Source organism: Homo sapiens, chromosome 2, assembly GCF_000001405.40.
Source record: "Homo sapiens chromosome 2, GRCh38.p14 Primary Assembly".
NCBI lineage: Eukaryota > Metazoa > Chordata > Mammalia > Primates > Hominidae > Homo > Homo sapiens.
The window spans coordinates 178,730,864-178,743,650 of record NC_000002.12 but is presented as its reverse complement, the minus strand read 5'-3'; the positions used below and the strand labels follow the sequence as shown (position 1 = coordinate 178,743,650).

Here is a 12,787-nt window from a genome sequence, read left to right as displayed (position 1 = left end):
GTTCAAACCTTGTTTCTTAAAAAAAGAGAAAGAGAGAAATAGAAAAATGTTTTTATGTCCTACTGGATTTCAGGAAGAGCTGAAAAACACTCTTATTCATATAGTAAAGAGGGCTTTGTTTGGTTTTGCTCATTAGAATTCTGTAATTCTGTTAGTTTCAAGTATGGTGAGCTTGAGTATACGCAGAATAACAGTGACTGAATAAAGAAAAGTAAGCCTTGGCTTACTTTAATTGTCATAGATAATGAAATGGAATTTTTTATTTTCTGACTCAATGGCACGTAACATAAAACCCCAAAATATTAATTTCTCTGATTCTGGATAAAGAATTTATTGTATTGCACATAGTTGAGTTTAGACAATTAATAGCTGCTACCACAACATGTAATTTTTTAAACTATGCCTTTCAAGTTTCAGCACATTTGAATTTCATTTACTATCCTTTTTATGGCTAATAATACCATGGCTTGAAGTAAAATATTTGCAAATAGTTCAACATAGTAGTGAGTAAGGGTATTTTAACTGTATTCACATTCACTCCCTTTACAGATATTTTGTGAGTTCAAGTGAAGGGAAAGGTAACGCGAATTATGTATTGTAGATTAAATGCGAAGTTAAGTGATCACCATTAATATGTAAAATTATCAATGGTTTTATGGTTTACTTAAAATAATAAATACCTGAATATGTATTCTGCATGCTATAGATGAGTTTCTCCAGTATTTTTACAGCCAGCAGACACTTGAGTCCTGTCTTCTAATGCTTATATGCTAGAACAGAAAGGAATTAAGGTGTAAGTCTATTTCATGTGATGCAAGTGAAGTCACCAAATAAAATCATAAAACTGCCTTTTGCTAAGGCAATAAAACTACTAATAACAGGCCTGTTCTACATAGCTAAGAGGTTTAATAAAAAATCGAATTCCTTGTTTAAAATTACATGTCTTTCATCCTGTCATCCAGGATACTGTTTAAAGAGTCTCTGTTATGCACTGCTTTGTTTCTTGCTCAGTGGTTCTGTATAGGTTTTCTTATACAATAAAATACAATGAACTTTTAATATTGGAGTTGTTTTCTCTTATTTTTGATTATCTTATTTTCTTGGCTAATGCCTTATTACAAAGGCTTTGTTCAAGTAATATGGTGATTTACATAGATGAAAGAAGGCCTGCATTTCTAGAAACTGAAAACAGTGGTTCTCTTACAAATCCAAATTAAACATTTCCTGTAGCCTCTTATTTTTAATAATGACTTTAGAGGCAGTAATTAGAACATCAATGGTTTATTTTGGAAATAATCAGTCTTTAACAAAGAAGATTATTCTTAACCTCAAGAAAACTCTAAATATAAATAACAATTCTGGATCTTTTTAGAAGTTGATTTAAATAATGCTGGATTATTATAACTATTTAATTAGCAGTTTTTCAAACTTTAAAATTGGAATTATATCTCAAGAAAAACTCATGAGAGCATTTTTAAAACATGAACTCTATCACAGATGAAGTGGATCAAAAATTGCTTTTGTACAGTATCTATAATTTTGCATAATTTTATATGTTAAGCTAAGAAAAATTTAGAAATGTGCTTTTTGATACATTAATCTTGGAATAATCTAATCATTCCAGGAATAAAGCAGAAGAAGGCCATCAACTGGTGTCTAATTCTTTGATTTCTATTTTTATATTAAATAAAATTTTATAGTAAAATAATAATCATTTTTCCCCATACAGAGTTTTCTAGTTCTTTTCTGTCTGCCGAGGAAGAAGGACTTCATAGCGCCGAACTTCAATTATCTAAAATAAATGAAACACTTGAACTTTTGTCTGAATCTCCAGTTTACCCAACTAAATTTGATTCCGAAAAGGAAGGCACTGGCCCAATTTTCATCAAAGAAGTGTCAAATGCTGATATAAGCATGGGGGATGTGGCTACACTGTCTGTAACTGTCATTGGCATCCCCAAACCTAAAATTCAGTGGTTCTTTAATGGAGTGCTATTAACCCCTTCTGCTGACTACAAATTTGTTTTTGACGGTGATGATCATAGCCTGATCATTCTGTTCACCAAATTGGAGGATGAGGGAGAGTATACATGTATGGCCAGTAATGACTATGGAAAGACAATATGTAGTGCCTATCTAAAAATTAATTCCAAAGGAGAGGGTCACAAAGACACTGAAACAGAATCAGCAGTGGCAAAATCTCTGGAAAAGCTGGGAGGTCCTTGTCCTCCTCACTTCCTTAAGGAGTTAAAACCAATTCGCTGTGCTCAAGGGCTTCCTGCCATCTTTGAGTACACAGTGGTTGGAGAGCCTGCCCCTACTGTTACATGGTTCAAAGAAAACAAGCAGCTTTGCACCAGTGTTTATTACACTATCATTCATAACCCTAATGGCTCTGGAACTTTCATTGTCAATGACCCTCAGAGGGAAGACAGTGGCCTCTATATCTGTAAAGCAGAGAATATGTTGGGTGAGTCCACCTGTGCAGCAGAGCTGCTTGTGCTTCTGGAAGACACAGACATGACTGATACCCCCTGCAAAGCAAAGTCCACACCAGAGGCTCCTGAGGATTTTCCACAGACACCCTTAAAGGGTCCCGCAGTTGAAGCACTTGACTCAGAGCAGGAAATTGCAACGTTTGTAAAAGACACCATTTTGAAAGCTGCTTTAATTACAGAAGAAAACCAGCAACTATCTTATGAGCATATTGCTAAAGCCAATGAATTGAGCAGTCAGCTTCCTTTGGGAGCTCAGGAATTGCAATCCATTTTGGAGCAAGACAAGCTCACTCCTGAAAGCACCAGGGAATTTCTTTGCATCAATGGCAGTATTCACTTTCAGCCTCTCAAGGAACCATCTCCCAACCTACAGCTGCAGATTGTACAGTCCCAGAAAACCTTCTCCAAAGAAGGTATTCTAATGCCTGAAGAGCCTGAGACACAGGCAGTTCTATCAGATACCGAGAAAATCTTCCCAAGTGCCATGTCCATAGAACAAATTAATTCATTAACAGTTGAGCCTCTGAAAACTTTATTAGCTGAACCTGAAGGGAATTATCCACAGTCTTCAATAGAACCTCCAATGCATTCTTATCTAACCTCTGTGGCTGAGGAAGTACTTTCACCAAAAGAAAAGACAGTATCTGACACCAACAGAGAGCAAAGAGTGACTCTTCAAAAGCAAGAGGCACAAAGTGCGCTCATCTTGAGTCAGAGCTTAGCTGAGGGACACGTGGAGAGTCTCCAGAGTCCTGATGTCATGATCTCTCAGGTAAACTATGAGCCCCTAGTCCCTTCAGAACACTCATGCACAGAAGGAGGTAAAATTTTGATAGAAAGTGCAAATCCACTGGAAAATGCAGGGCAAGATTCTGCGGTCAGAATTGAGGAAGGCAAGTCCTTAAGATTTCCACTAGCACTTGAAGAAAAGCAGGTACTGCTCAAAGAAGAGCATTCTGACAACGTGGTGATGCCCCCAGACCAAATCATTGAGTCTAAAAGAGAGCCCGTGGCAATAAAGAAAGTGCAGGAGGTACAGGGAAGGGACCTTCTTTCTAAGGAAAGCTTGCTTTCTGGTATTCCAGAAGAGCAGAGATTAAACCTGAAAATTCAAATCTGCCGGGCTTTGCAAGCAGCCGTGGCCAGCGAGCAGCCAGGTCTTTTCTCTGAGTGGCTAAGAAATATTGAAAAGGTGGAGGTCGAGGCTGTAAACATCACCCAAGAGCCCAGACACATCATGTGCATGTACCTTGTTACTTCGGCAAAGTCTGTAACAGAAGAAGTAACCATCATTATTGAAGATGTTGATCCTCAAATGGCTAACCTGAAAATGGAACTTAGGGATGCTTTGTGTGCTATTATATATGAGGAAATAGACATCCTAACAGCTGAGGGTCCTAGAATTCAGCAAGGAGCCAAAACAAGTTTGCAAGAAGAAATGGATTCTTTTTCAGGTTCACAGAAGGTTGAACCCATTACTGAACCAGAAGTTGAATCTAAATATCTGATCTCAACTGAAGAGGTCAGTTATTTTAACGTGCAAAGTAGGGTTAAATATTTGGATGCCACACCTGTCACTAAAGGGGTTGCTTCAGCTGTTGTCTCTGACGAAAAACAAGATGAGAGTCTGAAACCATCAGAGGAAAAAGAGGAGTCTTCCTCTGAAAGTGGTACTGAGGAGGTTGCTACAGTAAAGATACAGGAAGCTGAGGGTGGCTTAATCAAAGAGGATGGCCCCATGATACATACACCTTTAGTGGACACTGTTTCTGAGGAAGGTGATATTGTACACCTCACAACATCCATAACAAATGCTAAAGAGGTGAATTGGTATTTTGAGAATAAACTGGTGCCTTCAGATGAAAAGTTCAAGTGTTTACAAGATCAAAATACATATACGCTAGTCATCGACAAAGTAAATACCGAAGACCATCAAGGAGAGTATGTCTGTGAGGCCTTGAATGACAGCGGAAAAACAGCAACTTCAGCCAAACTCACTGTAGTAAAAAGAGGTTGGATTTTAAGGATAAAATAGATCAAATGCTAACATTCACTGGATTGTAATGATTTAGCTTGCATCACTTAAATTTTCACTTATCTGCCACTTCCAGAATGTAATTTATTTAGAGTAAGAATGAAATCACAGACATAATCATGGTTATGAACTCACCTTTTCCCTTACTGCCCTGTTGGGTGCTATGCTATCATATCCATGGTACTATTTATTTTAAAAATAAAACATATTTTCATATGTTTCATAATACCAATAGATAAGCTTTTAGTTAATTTTCATATGAAGATAACTTTCATAATATGTAATAAAAAGTATCAGTGAACACCTAGCCACTCTGAAATCACTGGTCTCACCCTTAGATTTAAAATAACCATGATTAGTTGTCTGTTTCTTTTTTCTGTTTATTTTTTGTTGTTGTTTCACTTCATCACTTTATTTAGTATATCATGTTTCTTCACATTATTTTCAGTGTTCCCATTCAGCATGGTATATTTAAAGAATATATCATGTTGTTATGCATATAATCCAATAGCATCACATTTTTTCACAATTCACTGCAAAGCAATGATTGAATAGGTTTTTTTTAAAAAAAGCTTATTGTCTTCTTTTGCCTTCAATGATCTTTCTCATTTTCCAGTCACTTGCCTTAAACTGCTGTAATCCATCTCACCAATTTCAACTGTTTTACTCCATTAACAGCAACAAAAGTTAGAAGAAAAACAAAAATGTCATATGCCTGATAAGGAGGCATGTTAATGGACTCTACTTCCCTTTGCAGCTGCCCCAGTGATCAAGAGGAAAATCGAACCCCTGGAAGTAGCACTGGGCCACCTAGCCAAATTCACCTGTGAGATCCAAAGTGCTCCCAATGTCCGGTTCCAGTGGTTTAAAGCTGGCCGAGAAATTTATGAGAGTGACAAGTGTTCTATTCGATCTTCAAAGTATATCTCCAGCCTTGAAATCCTGAGAACCCAGGTGGTTGACTGCGGCGAGTATACATGCAAAGCTTCCAATGAGTATGGCAGTGTCAGCTGTACAGCCACACTAACTGTGACAGGTAAATGCCATACATTGGCACAGATGTTGTCACTTCATTTCATATTGTTGTCCTTTTTGCTTTCTGTACATGTGTGGGAAATGCTTGTATTACCAACTGGAGAGACCAACAACCAAGACAGTAACATGGTAGGTAGGTACTGCAGAGCCTATATGGGATAAGAAATCATTATTTACAGTCACATTTCTACTACTGACCAAAGAAAAAATAATTTATTATTTGAGAACAAAGTTAAGTAATCAAATGAGCTCAGCTTGGCCCTTCATATAAAACATATCAGGACAGTTTGGTGCCACTAAAAAAAAATAATGTCTCAATGTATTTAAAAATTTTAAATCAAATAACCAATTAAGAACAGAATTACAAACTTAAAAAAGTCAGTGTCTAAGTCTAAAATTAAATCCTAATGTAAGACAGGGAGCTAGTATAGGACTGAAAACTAGGATTCTCTCTAGGCATTTTTACTAATTTAAAAATAAGACGGCTGGGCACGGTGGCTCACGCTTGTAATCCCAGCACTTTGGGAGGCCAAGGCAGGCGGATCACAAGGTCAGGAGATCGAGACCATCCTGGCTAACACAGTGAAACCCGATCTCTACTAAAAATATAAAAAATTAGCCAGGCGTGGTGTCACGCACCTGTAGTCCCAGCTACTTGGGAGGCTGAGGCAGGAGAATTGCTTGAAGCCAGGAGGCAGAGGTTGCAGTAAGCCAGGATTGCACCACTGCTCTCCAGCCTGGGCAACATAGCGAGACTCCACCTAAAAAAAAAAAAAGAAAGAAAGAAAATAAGACAACTACACAAATATCCTATTCCCAATTTTCTAATTGATATGTAGGGTGACTTTCAAATAGTTAACACTCATCAAATACTTGAATGCCTTCATTAACCAAAATATTAGTAGCAAGCTTTTCTTCCTTTCTTCCTACCTTCTTTCCTTCCTTCCTTCCTTCCCTCCTTCCCTCCCTCCTCTCTATCTTTCTTTCTTTCTTTTCTTTCTTTCCCTCTTCCCAAGAGAAAGTGTGAGTATGAACTGTGGTTTGAGGACAGGGGTAGAGGTACAGTCAAGCCATACTTGGACTGTTGGGGAAGGCTGTCCCTTGGTCTTCTTTGTCAATGAGAATATCAAGGGGAAGGGCAAATGCAGCACATCTCTTGAATGTGAAAACGATGAGGTTCCCTATAGCTTCCTCTTCTCTACAATCCTTTTACGTGATCCTAAGAAAAACCCAGGCCCATGATGACCCAACCAGTGCTTTTCACTCTGGTCAAAATGTCTCCATAAAACCAAGTACATGATATTATTCATACTGACGCGTTTGGAAGTTTCTTTACTCAAATTAGGTCAATTTAGGAATGCGACTAATATTGAAGCTTCAGATAATAAGAGGAAAGGATAAGGAGGATGACTTAAAAAAATTAAAAAGAGAGGTTCTGAAAGTCTGGCTTCAAGATGCAGAATGGAAAGGGGAAGTTGCTGCTATTAAATATTTTTACAAGTTTGAGTTGGCCTAGAGGATGCATTCATAGTTAAGCCATATAAGAATTTCCAGGCAGTTGACATGAGGGTTAGAAAGACATTACAAAACTACTTCAATCTTCTTATCACTTAATATCCCTACTCTTCAGAAGAGTCAAATACATTTTCTTTATCTTCCTTACATAATCTTCTAATTTGCAGAATTAAAGTATCAGCTCAATAGCTTATCAAATAATTAAACAAGCAGCCACTAAAATGGACAAATCTTTAGTAATGTTACTTAATAAAGGAACGCTTGTCTTTTCTTTGATAGAGACAAGTAAAGTGATGTCTTGCTCCCTTATAAAGAACACTCTCATCCCTTTCCTTTGACAATCTTTTGTTCTTATTAACACATTACTCCATTTTAAATTATGGCTCATGTCTATCTAAAGACTTAACTCATCTTTTCTCTGTCTTGGAATATATAATTACAGCAAGTGCTTTGGTGGGGACTAAATGTAATGCTGGAAAAATTTCTTTTGCAGAGGCATATCCACCAACCTTTCTCTCCAGACCTAAGTCCCTTACAACTTTTGTGGGTAAGGCAGCCAAGTTCATCTGCACAGTGACAGGGACTCCTGTGATAGAAACCATTTGGCAGAAAGATGGTGCTGCACTCTCACCTTCACCTAACTGGAGGATTTCCGACGCAGAAAACAAACACATTTTAGAACTCTCAAACCTTACCATTCAAGATAGAGGAGTTTATTCTTGTAAGGCTTCCAACAAGTTTGGAGCAGACATCTGCCAAGCAGAGTTGATCATCATTGATAAGCCACATTTCATTAAAGAATTAGAGCCTGTGCAGTCCGCTATCAATAAGAAGGTCCACCTTGAGTGCCAAGTAGATGAAGACAGAAAAGTCACAGTTACGTGGAGCAAAGATGGGCAAAAACTCCCCCCAGGGAAAGATTATAAGATCTGTTTTGAAGATAAAATAGCAACACTTGAGATTCCTTTGGCCAAACTGAAAGATTCAGGAACCTATGTCTGTACAGCTTCAAATGAGGCTGGAAGCAGCTCCTGCTCAGCCACAGTCACTGTCAGAGGTAAGAAACGTGTGAATGTATTTTCTAGTCCCTTCTCTGCAAGGAATCCTCAGTAGAAAAACTGTTGGCAAACAATTCAGTCAGTACACTTTGTTATTAAAATAATGTCATTCAGCAAACATTATGGTTTGGGAAAGTCCTGGCATTGTTTGATTTTATTTTTTTAATCCTCTTCAAAGTTCACTTAACTTTTGTTCTTTTAAATTGTCTGCTATTAACAAAGCTTGCTTAAAATTTCTTCTAAGAAAAAACTCCAAGTGTCTGAGCAATTCTTAACTATCTTCTTTTATAAAATTCTTCTTTGTGTAGGTAGTCTGTTTATTGTTGTTTTATTTTAAATCAAGAGACTGGGAAAGTGTCTTAGAATGATAGGAACCTATTAAATGCACCACAGCTTTTACAGAAATTTTGTGGAGATATTTTATGTGTGTTGGGTCTCTTTGTTGTATATGTCTACTTTTCTTTTGCGGAGTTTATGTTTCAGATATCTTCTCCTTTTTCTTTTTTGTAAACTTCATGTAGAGCCACCATCCTTCGTGAAGAAGGTGGATCCCTCTTATTTAATGCTCCCAGGTGAATCAGCACGCCTCCATTGCAAGCTGAAAGGCTCACCTGTGATCCAGGTTACTTGGTTTAAAAATAACAAAGAACTCAGTGAAAGTAACACAGTCCGAATGTATTTTGTCAATTCTGAGGCTATACTTGATATTACGGATGTAAAAGTTGAAGACAGTGGGAGTTACTCATGTGAAGCAGTGAATGACGTCGGCAGTGATAGCTGCAGTACTGAAATAGTTATCAAAGGTTTGTTTACTGAGTTTCCATCCAGTATTTTTCTGAGAAAAGATTTCCCTTTTAATTACTTATTACCCATTACTTACACAATGCTTTCATGCTTTTGTAGAACCTCCTTCTTTCATCAAAACTCTTGAGCCTGCAGACATAGTGAGAGGAACAAATGCTCTACTTCAGTGTGAAGTCTCAGGCACTGGACCATTTGAAATTAGCTGGTTCAAAGACAAGAAACAAATTCGAAGTAGTAAAAAATACAGATTGTTTTCTCAGAAGTCTCTTGTGTGTCTGGAGATCTTTTCGTTTAATAGTGCAGATGTTGGTGAATATGAATGTGTTGTTGCTAATGAAGTCGGCAAGTGTGGCTGCATGGCAACCCACTTACTCAAAGGTTAGTGCTTGAAAAACTAATGTCTCTTTAATAAATTGTCAAACTAGCTTTCTTACCCCATGGAAGAAAAACTGGTACTTTCTTCTCTTGTCCTATCCTTTAAATTTGTTTTGTCTTGGTTTGACCTGGGACCTTGGGAACAAAGTCAGTAACTTTCACCTGGTCTTTTTCCCGAGACTAGTGTAAATATCTATTATCTGATAACAAAAGGGAATAATAAGCCATTTTGTCAGCTGACAAACATGTATCATCTATGCCTCTGTCTCTTGGATGGAATTATAATTATTCTTAACTTTTATTTCTTCTTCTAATTAACACTATGAAATAGTAGTATTGGGACAAGATAAATATAATCTTGAAAAAACTCTTAAATATAGATGGTGTTGAAAGTGTTTGGGAATTGATATGTTTTATATGCTCTCTTTCCTTAACTAGAACCTCCAACCTTTGTAAAGAAAGTAGATGATTTGATTGCACTAGGAGGACAAACCGTTACCCTGCAAGCTGCTGTGAGAGGGTCAGAGCCCATTTCTGTCACATGGATGAAAGGTCAAGAGGTCATCAGAGAAGACGGAAAAATCAAAATGAGCTTTTCCAATGGTGTTGCAGTCTTGATAATCCCTGATGTTCAGATTAGTTTTGGAGGCAAATACACGTGCCTGGCTGAAAATGAAGCTGGAAGCCAAACATCTGTTGGGGAATTAATAGTTAAAGGTTTGTGTAGGAACATTTAAACCTCAAATTGCTATTTAGAATTAAAGTGAAACCCTAACAAGCATTTAGGGTGCTAACTATTTCATACCATTGTAGAACCTGCCAAAATCATTGAGCGAGCAGAACTGATCCAGGTGACAGCAGGAGATCCCGCCACACTGGAGTACACAGTGGCAGGCACGCCAGAACTGAAGCCCAAATGGTACAAAGATGGGAGACCCTTGGTCGCCAGTAAAAAATACCGAATAAGTTTTAAAAACAATGTTGCCCAGCTCAAATTTTATTCAGCTGAGCTGCACGACAGTGGCCAATACACATTTGAGATTTCCAATGAAGTGGGCAGCAGCTCCTGTGAGACTACATTCACTGTATTAGGTTAGTATTTTTAGAAAATGATGCTACATATGCATTTGAAACCCAACAAATGGCCTAAAGTCAATCACTGAGCACTCTTCTATATTGACCTTTTCTCCCTTCTTGTGCAACACACAGATCGAGACATTGCTCCATTTTTTACCAAACCCTTGCGCAACGTGGATAGTGTTGTTAATGGTACCTGCAGACTGGACTGCAAAATTGCAGGCTCCCTCCCCATGAGGGTGTCCTGGTTTAAGGATGGCAAAGAAATAGCTGCTTCTGACAGATACAGGATAGCATTTGTGGAAGGCACAGCCTCTTTGGAGATCATCAGAGTAGACATGAATGATGCAGGGAATTTCACTTGTCGAGCCACAAATTCCGTGGGAAGCAAAGACAGCAGTGGAGCCCTGATTGTGCAAGGTTGGCTGGAGACTTTGCATTTTATCCTTATTAAAGATTATGTTCAAATTAAGTCATCTTCCCTTAGATCAACCCTCTTAACTCTTTGAAATTCTTTCTTATACCCCTTCTTCAGAACCACCCAGTTTTGTAACTAAACCCGGCTCAAAGGATGTTCTGCCTGGCTCAGCAGTCTGCCTGAAGAGCACTTTCCAAGGATCTACTCCTCTCACAATCAGATGGTTTAAGGGCAACAAAGAGCTGGTTTCTGGTGGAAGCTGCTATATTACCAAAGAAGCTTTAGAGAGTTCCCTGGAACTCTATTTAGTAAAAACCTCTGATTCGGGCACGTACACATGTAAAGTCAGCAATGTCGCTGGAGGGGTGGAATGCAGTGCAAACTTGTTTGTAAAAGGTTTGCATTGTTTTCTTGACATCTTTGTGCTAACCTTGTTATAAATTCTTTCCTCTTTCTCACATTTCTTAATAACTTCCTTCCTTCCACAGAACCTGCCACATTTGTTGAAAAGTTAGAGCCATCACAGCTGTTAAAGAAGGGAGATGCCACCCAGCTAGCCTGCAAAGTAACTGGTACCCCTCCAATTAAAATAACATGGTTTGCAAATGATAGAGAAATTAAGGAGAGCAGCAAACACAGAATGTCTTTTGTGGAGTCTACTGCAGTTCTAAGACTGACAGATGTTGGCATCGAAGACAGTGGTGAATATATGTGTGAGGCCCAAAATGAGGCTGGCAGTGACCACTGCAGTAGCATTGTAATAGTCAAAGGTTTGTGTTCACTTTGCCTCTTGTGTTGCCAAAGTTATGGCCCATGGCACAGACCCCTCCTCCCTTAATGCAAATCATTCCTTTTTTACTGTAGAGTCACCTTATTTTACCAAGGAATTTAAGCCAATTGAAGTCTTAAAGGAGTACGATGTCATGTTGCTGGCTGAGGTGGCAGGCACTCCTCCCTTTGAGATCACTTGGTTCAAAGATAACACAATCCTGCGAAGTGGTAGAAAGTATAAGACTTTCATTCAGGATCATCTGGTTAGCCTGCAGATCCTCAAGTTTGTAGCTGCAGATGCTGGCGAATACCAGTGTCGGGTGACCAATGAGGTGGGCAGCAGCATCTGCAGTGCCAGGGTGACTTTAAGAGGTTAGTGTTGGTTCCAGTGAGGGACTGGCTTTTCTGAAGAGTCAATTCTTTTTTTTAAGCCACTTTTGCTATAGGGATAATATTGATTGAGAATTCATTCTTCTGTTAGAACCCCCATCCTTCATAAAGAAGATCGAGAGTACCAGCTCCCTCCGGGGAGGCACAGCTGCCTTCCAGGCCACTCTGAAGGGCTCCTTGCCAATTACGGTGACTTGGCTAAAAGACAGCGATGAAATCACTGAAGACGATAATATAAGAATGACCTTTGAGAACAATGTGGCCAGTTTGTACCTCAGTGGCATTGAAGTCAAGCATGATGGGAAATATGTCTGTCAGGCCAAAAATGATGCAGGAATACAAAGATGTTCTGCATTACTCTCAGTAAAAGGTTGGTTCAGAACGTTTGCCTTGGGTTTGAGGAAGAAATGCAGATGTAAGCCTTTCAGCAGGGTAATGCACAACCCACATCTATCCCTTTGTTTTCTACAGAACCTGCAACAATCACCGAGGAAGCTGTGTCTATAGATGTCACCCAAGGAGACCCAGCCACTTTGCAGGTTAAATTTTCAGGGACTAAGGAGATTACAGCCAAATGGTTTAAAGATGGCCAAGAACTGACCCTGGGCTCAAAATATAAAATCAGTGTCACTGATACAGTCTCAATACTGAAGATTATTTCTACAGAAAAGAAAGATAGTGGAGAATATACTTTCGAGGTCCAAAATGATGTTGGGAGGAGCAGCTGCAAGGCTAGAATTAATGTATTAGGTTGGTATTGTTCTTCTACAGAGAGGATTGGGCATTTCCATGCTCCTTCTTCCCTTAAAAT

At 38.6% G+C, this 12,787-nt stretch overlaps 1 protein-coding gene and 1 long non-coding RNA gene across 21 annotated transcripts in view, besides 1 other annotated feature; one reads left to right on the top strand and one right to left on the bottom strand.

Annotated features, from left to right (window-relative positions):
* Positions 1-12,787, top strand: part of TTN (titin) — a 281,435-nt gene that overhangs the window by 63,773 nt on the left and 204,875 nt on the right. For 12 of the 20 annotated variants that reach the window (NM_001256850.1, NM_001267550.2, XM_047445668.1 and 9 more), the window contains 13 exons: positions 1,730-4,510; positions 5,291-5,569; positions 7,577-8,140; positions 8,663-8,944; positions 9,045-9,323; positions 9,759-10,037; positions 10,134-10,412; positions 10,530-10,817; positions 10,933-11,211; positions 11,304-11,585; positions 11,680-11,958; positions 12,068-12,346; positions 12,448-12,726. In NM_001256850.1, coding sequence (NP_001243779.1) covers positions 1,730-4,510; positions 5,291-5,569; positions 7,577-8,140; positions 8,663-8,944; positions 9,045-9,323; positions 9,759-10,037; positions 10,134-10,412; positions 10,530-10,817; positions 10,933-11,211; positions 11,304-11,585; positions 11,680-11,958; positions 12,068-12,346; positions 12,448-12,726 — 6,429 coding nt within the window. The remainder of the gene's footprint in view (positions 1-1,729; positions 4,511-5,290; positions 5,570-7,576; positions 8,141-8,662; positions 8,945-9,044; positions 9,324-9,758; positions 10,038-10,133; positions 10,413-10,529; positions 10,818-10,932; positions 11,212-11,303; positions 11,586-11,679; positions 11,959-12,067; positions 12,347-12,447; positions 12,727-12,787) is intronic. The other 8 variants (NM_003319.4, NM_133437.4, NM_133432.3 and 5 more) reach the window with 2 other exon arrangements.
* LOC124906101 (uncharacterized) lies at positions 4,395-6,512 on the bottom strand. Its single transcript, XR_007087319.1, has 2 exons — positions 6,208-6,512; positions 4,395-5,717 (listed from the first exon to the last, which is right to left on the bottom strand). It is a non-coding gene; the product is annotated as an uncharacterized LOC124906101 (long non-coding RNA).
* Positions 11,460-12,659: an enhancer, noted in NCBI's record as "CDK7 strongly-dependent group 2 enhancer chr2:179595719-179596918 (GRCh37/hg19 assembly coordinates)". NCBI's record gives its function as "activates an origin of replication core promoter dependent on BRD2, BRD4, P300/CBP, MED14 and CDK7 cofactors, with strong dependence on CDK7, by STARR-seq in HCT116 cells {active_cell/tissue: HCT116}" and the evidence as "EXISTENCE:reporter gene assay evidence [ECO:0000049][PMID:35650434]".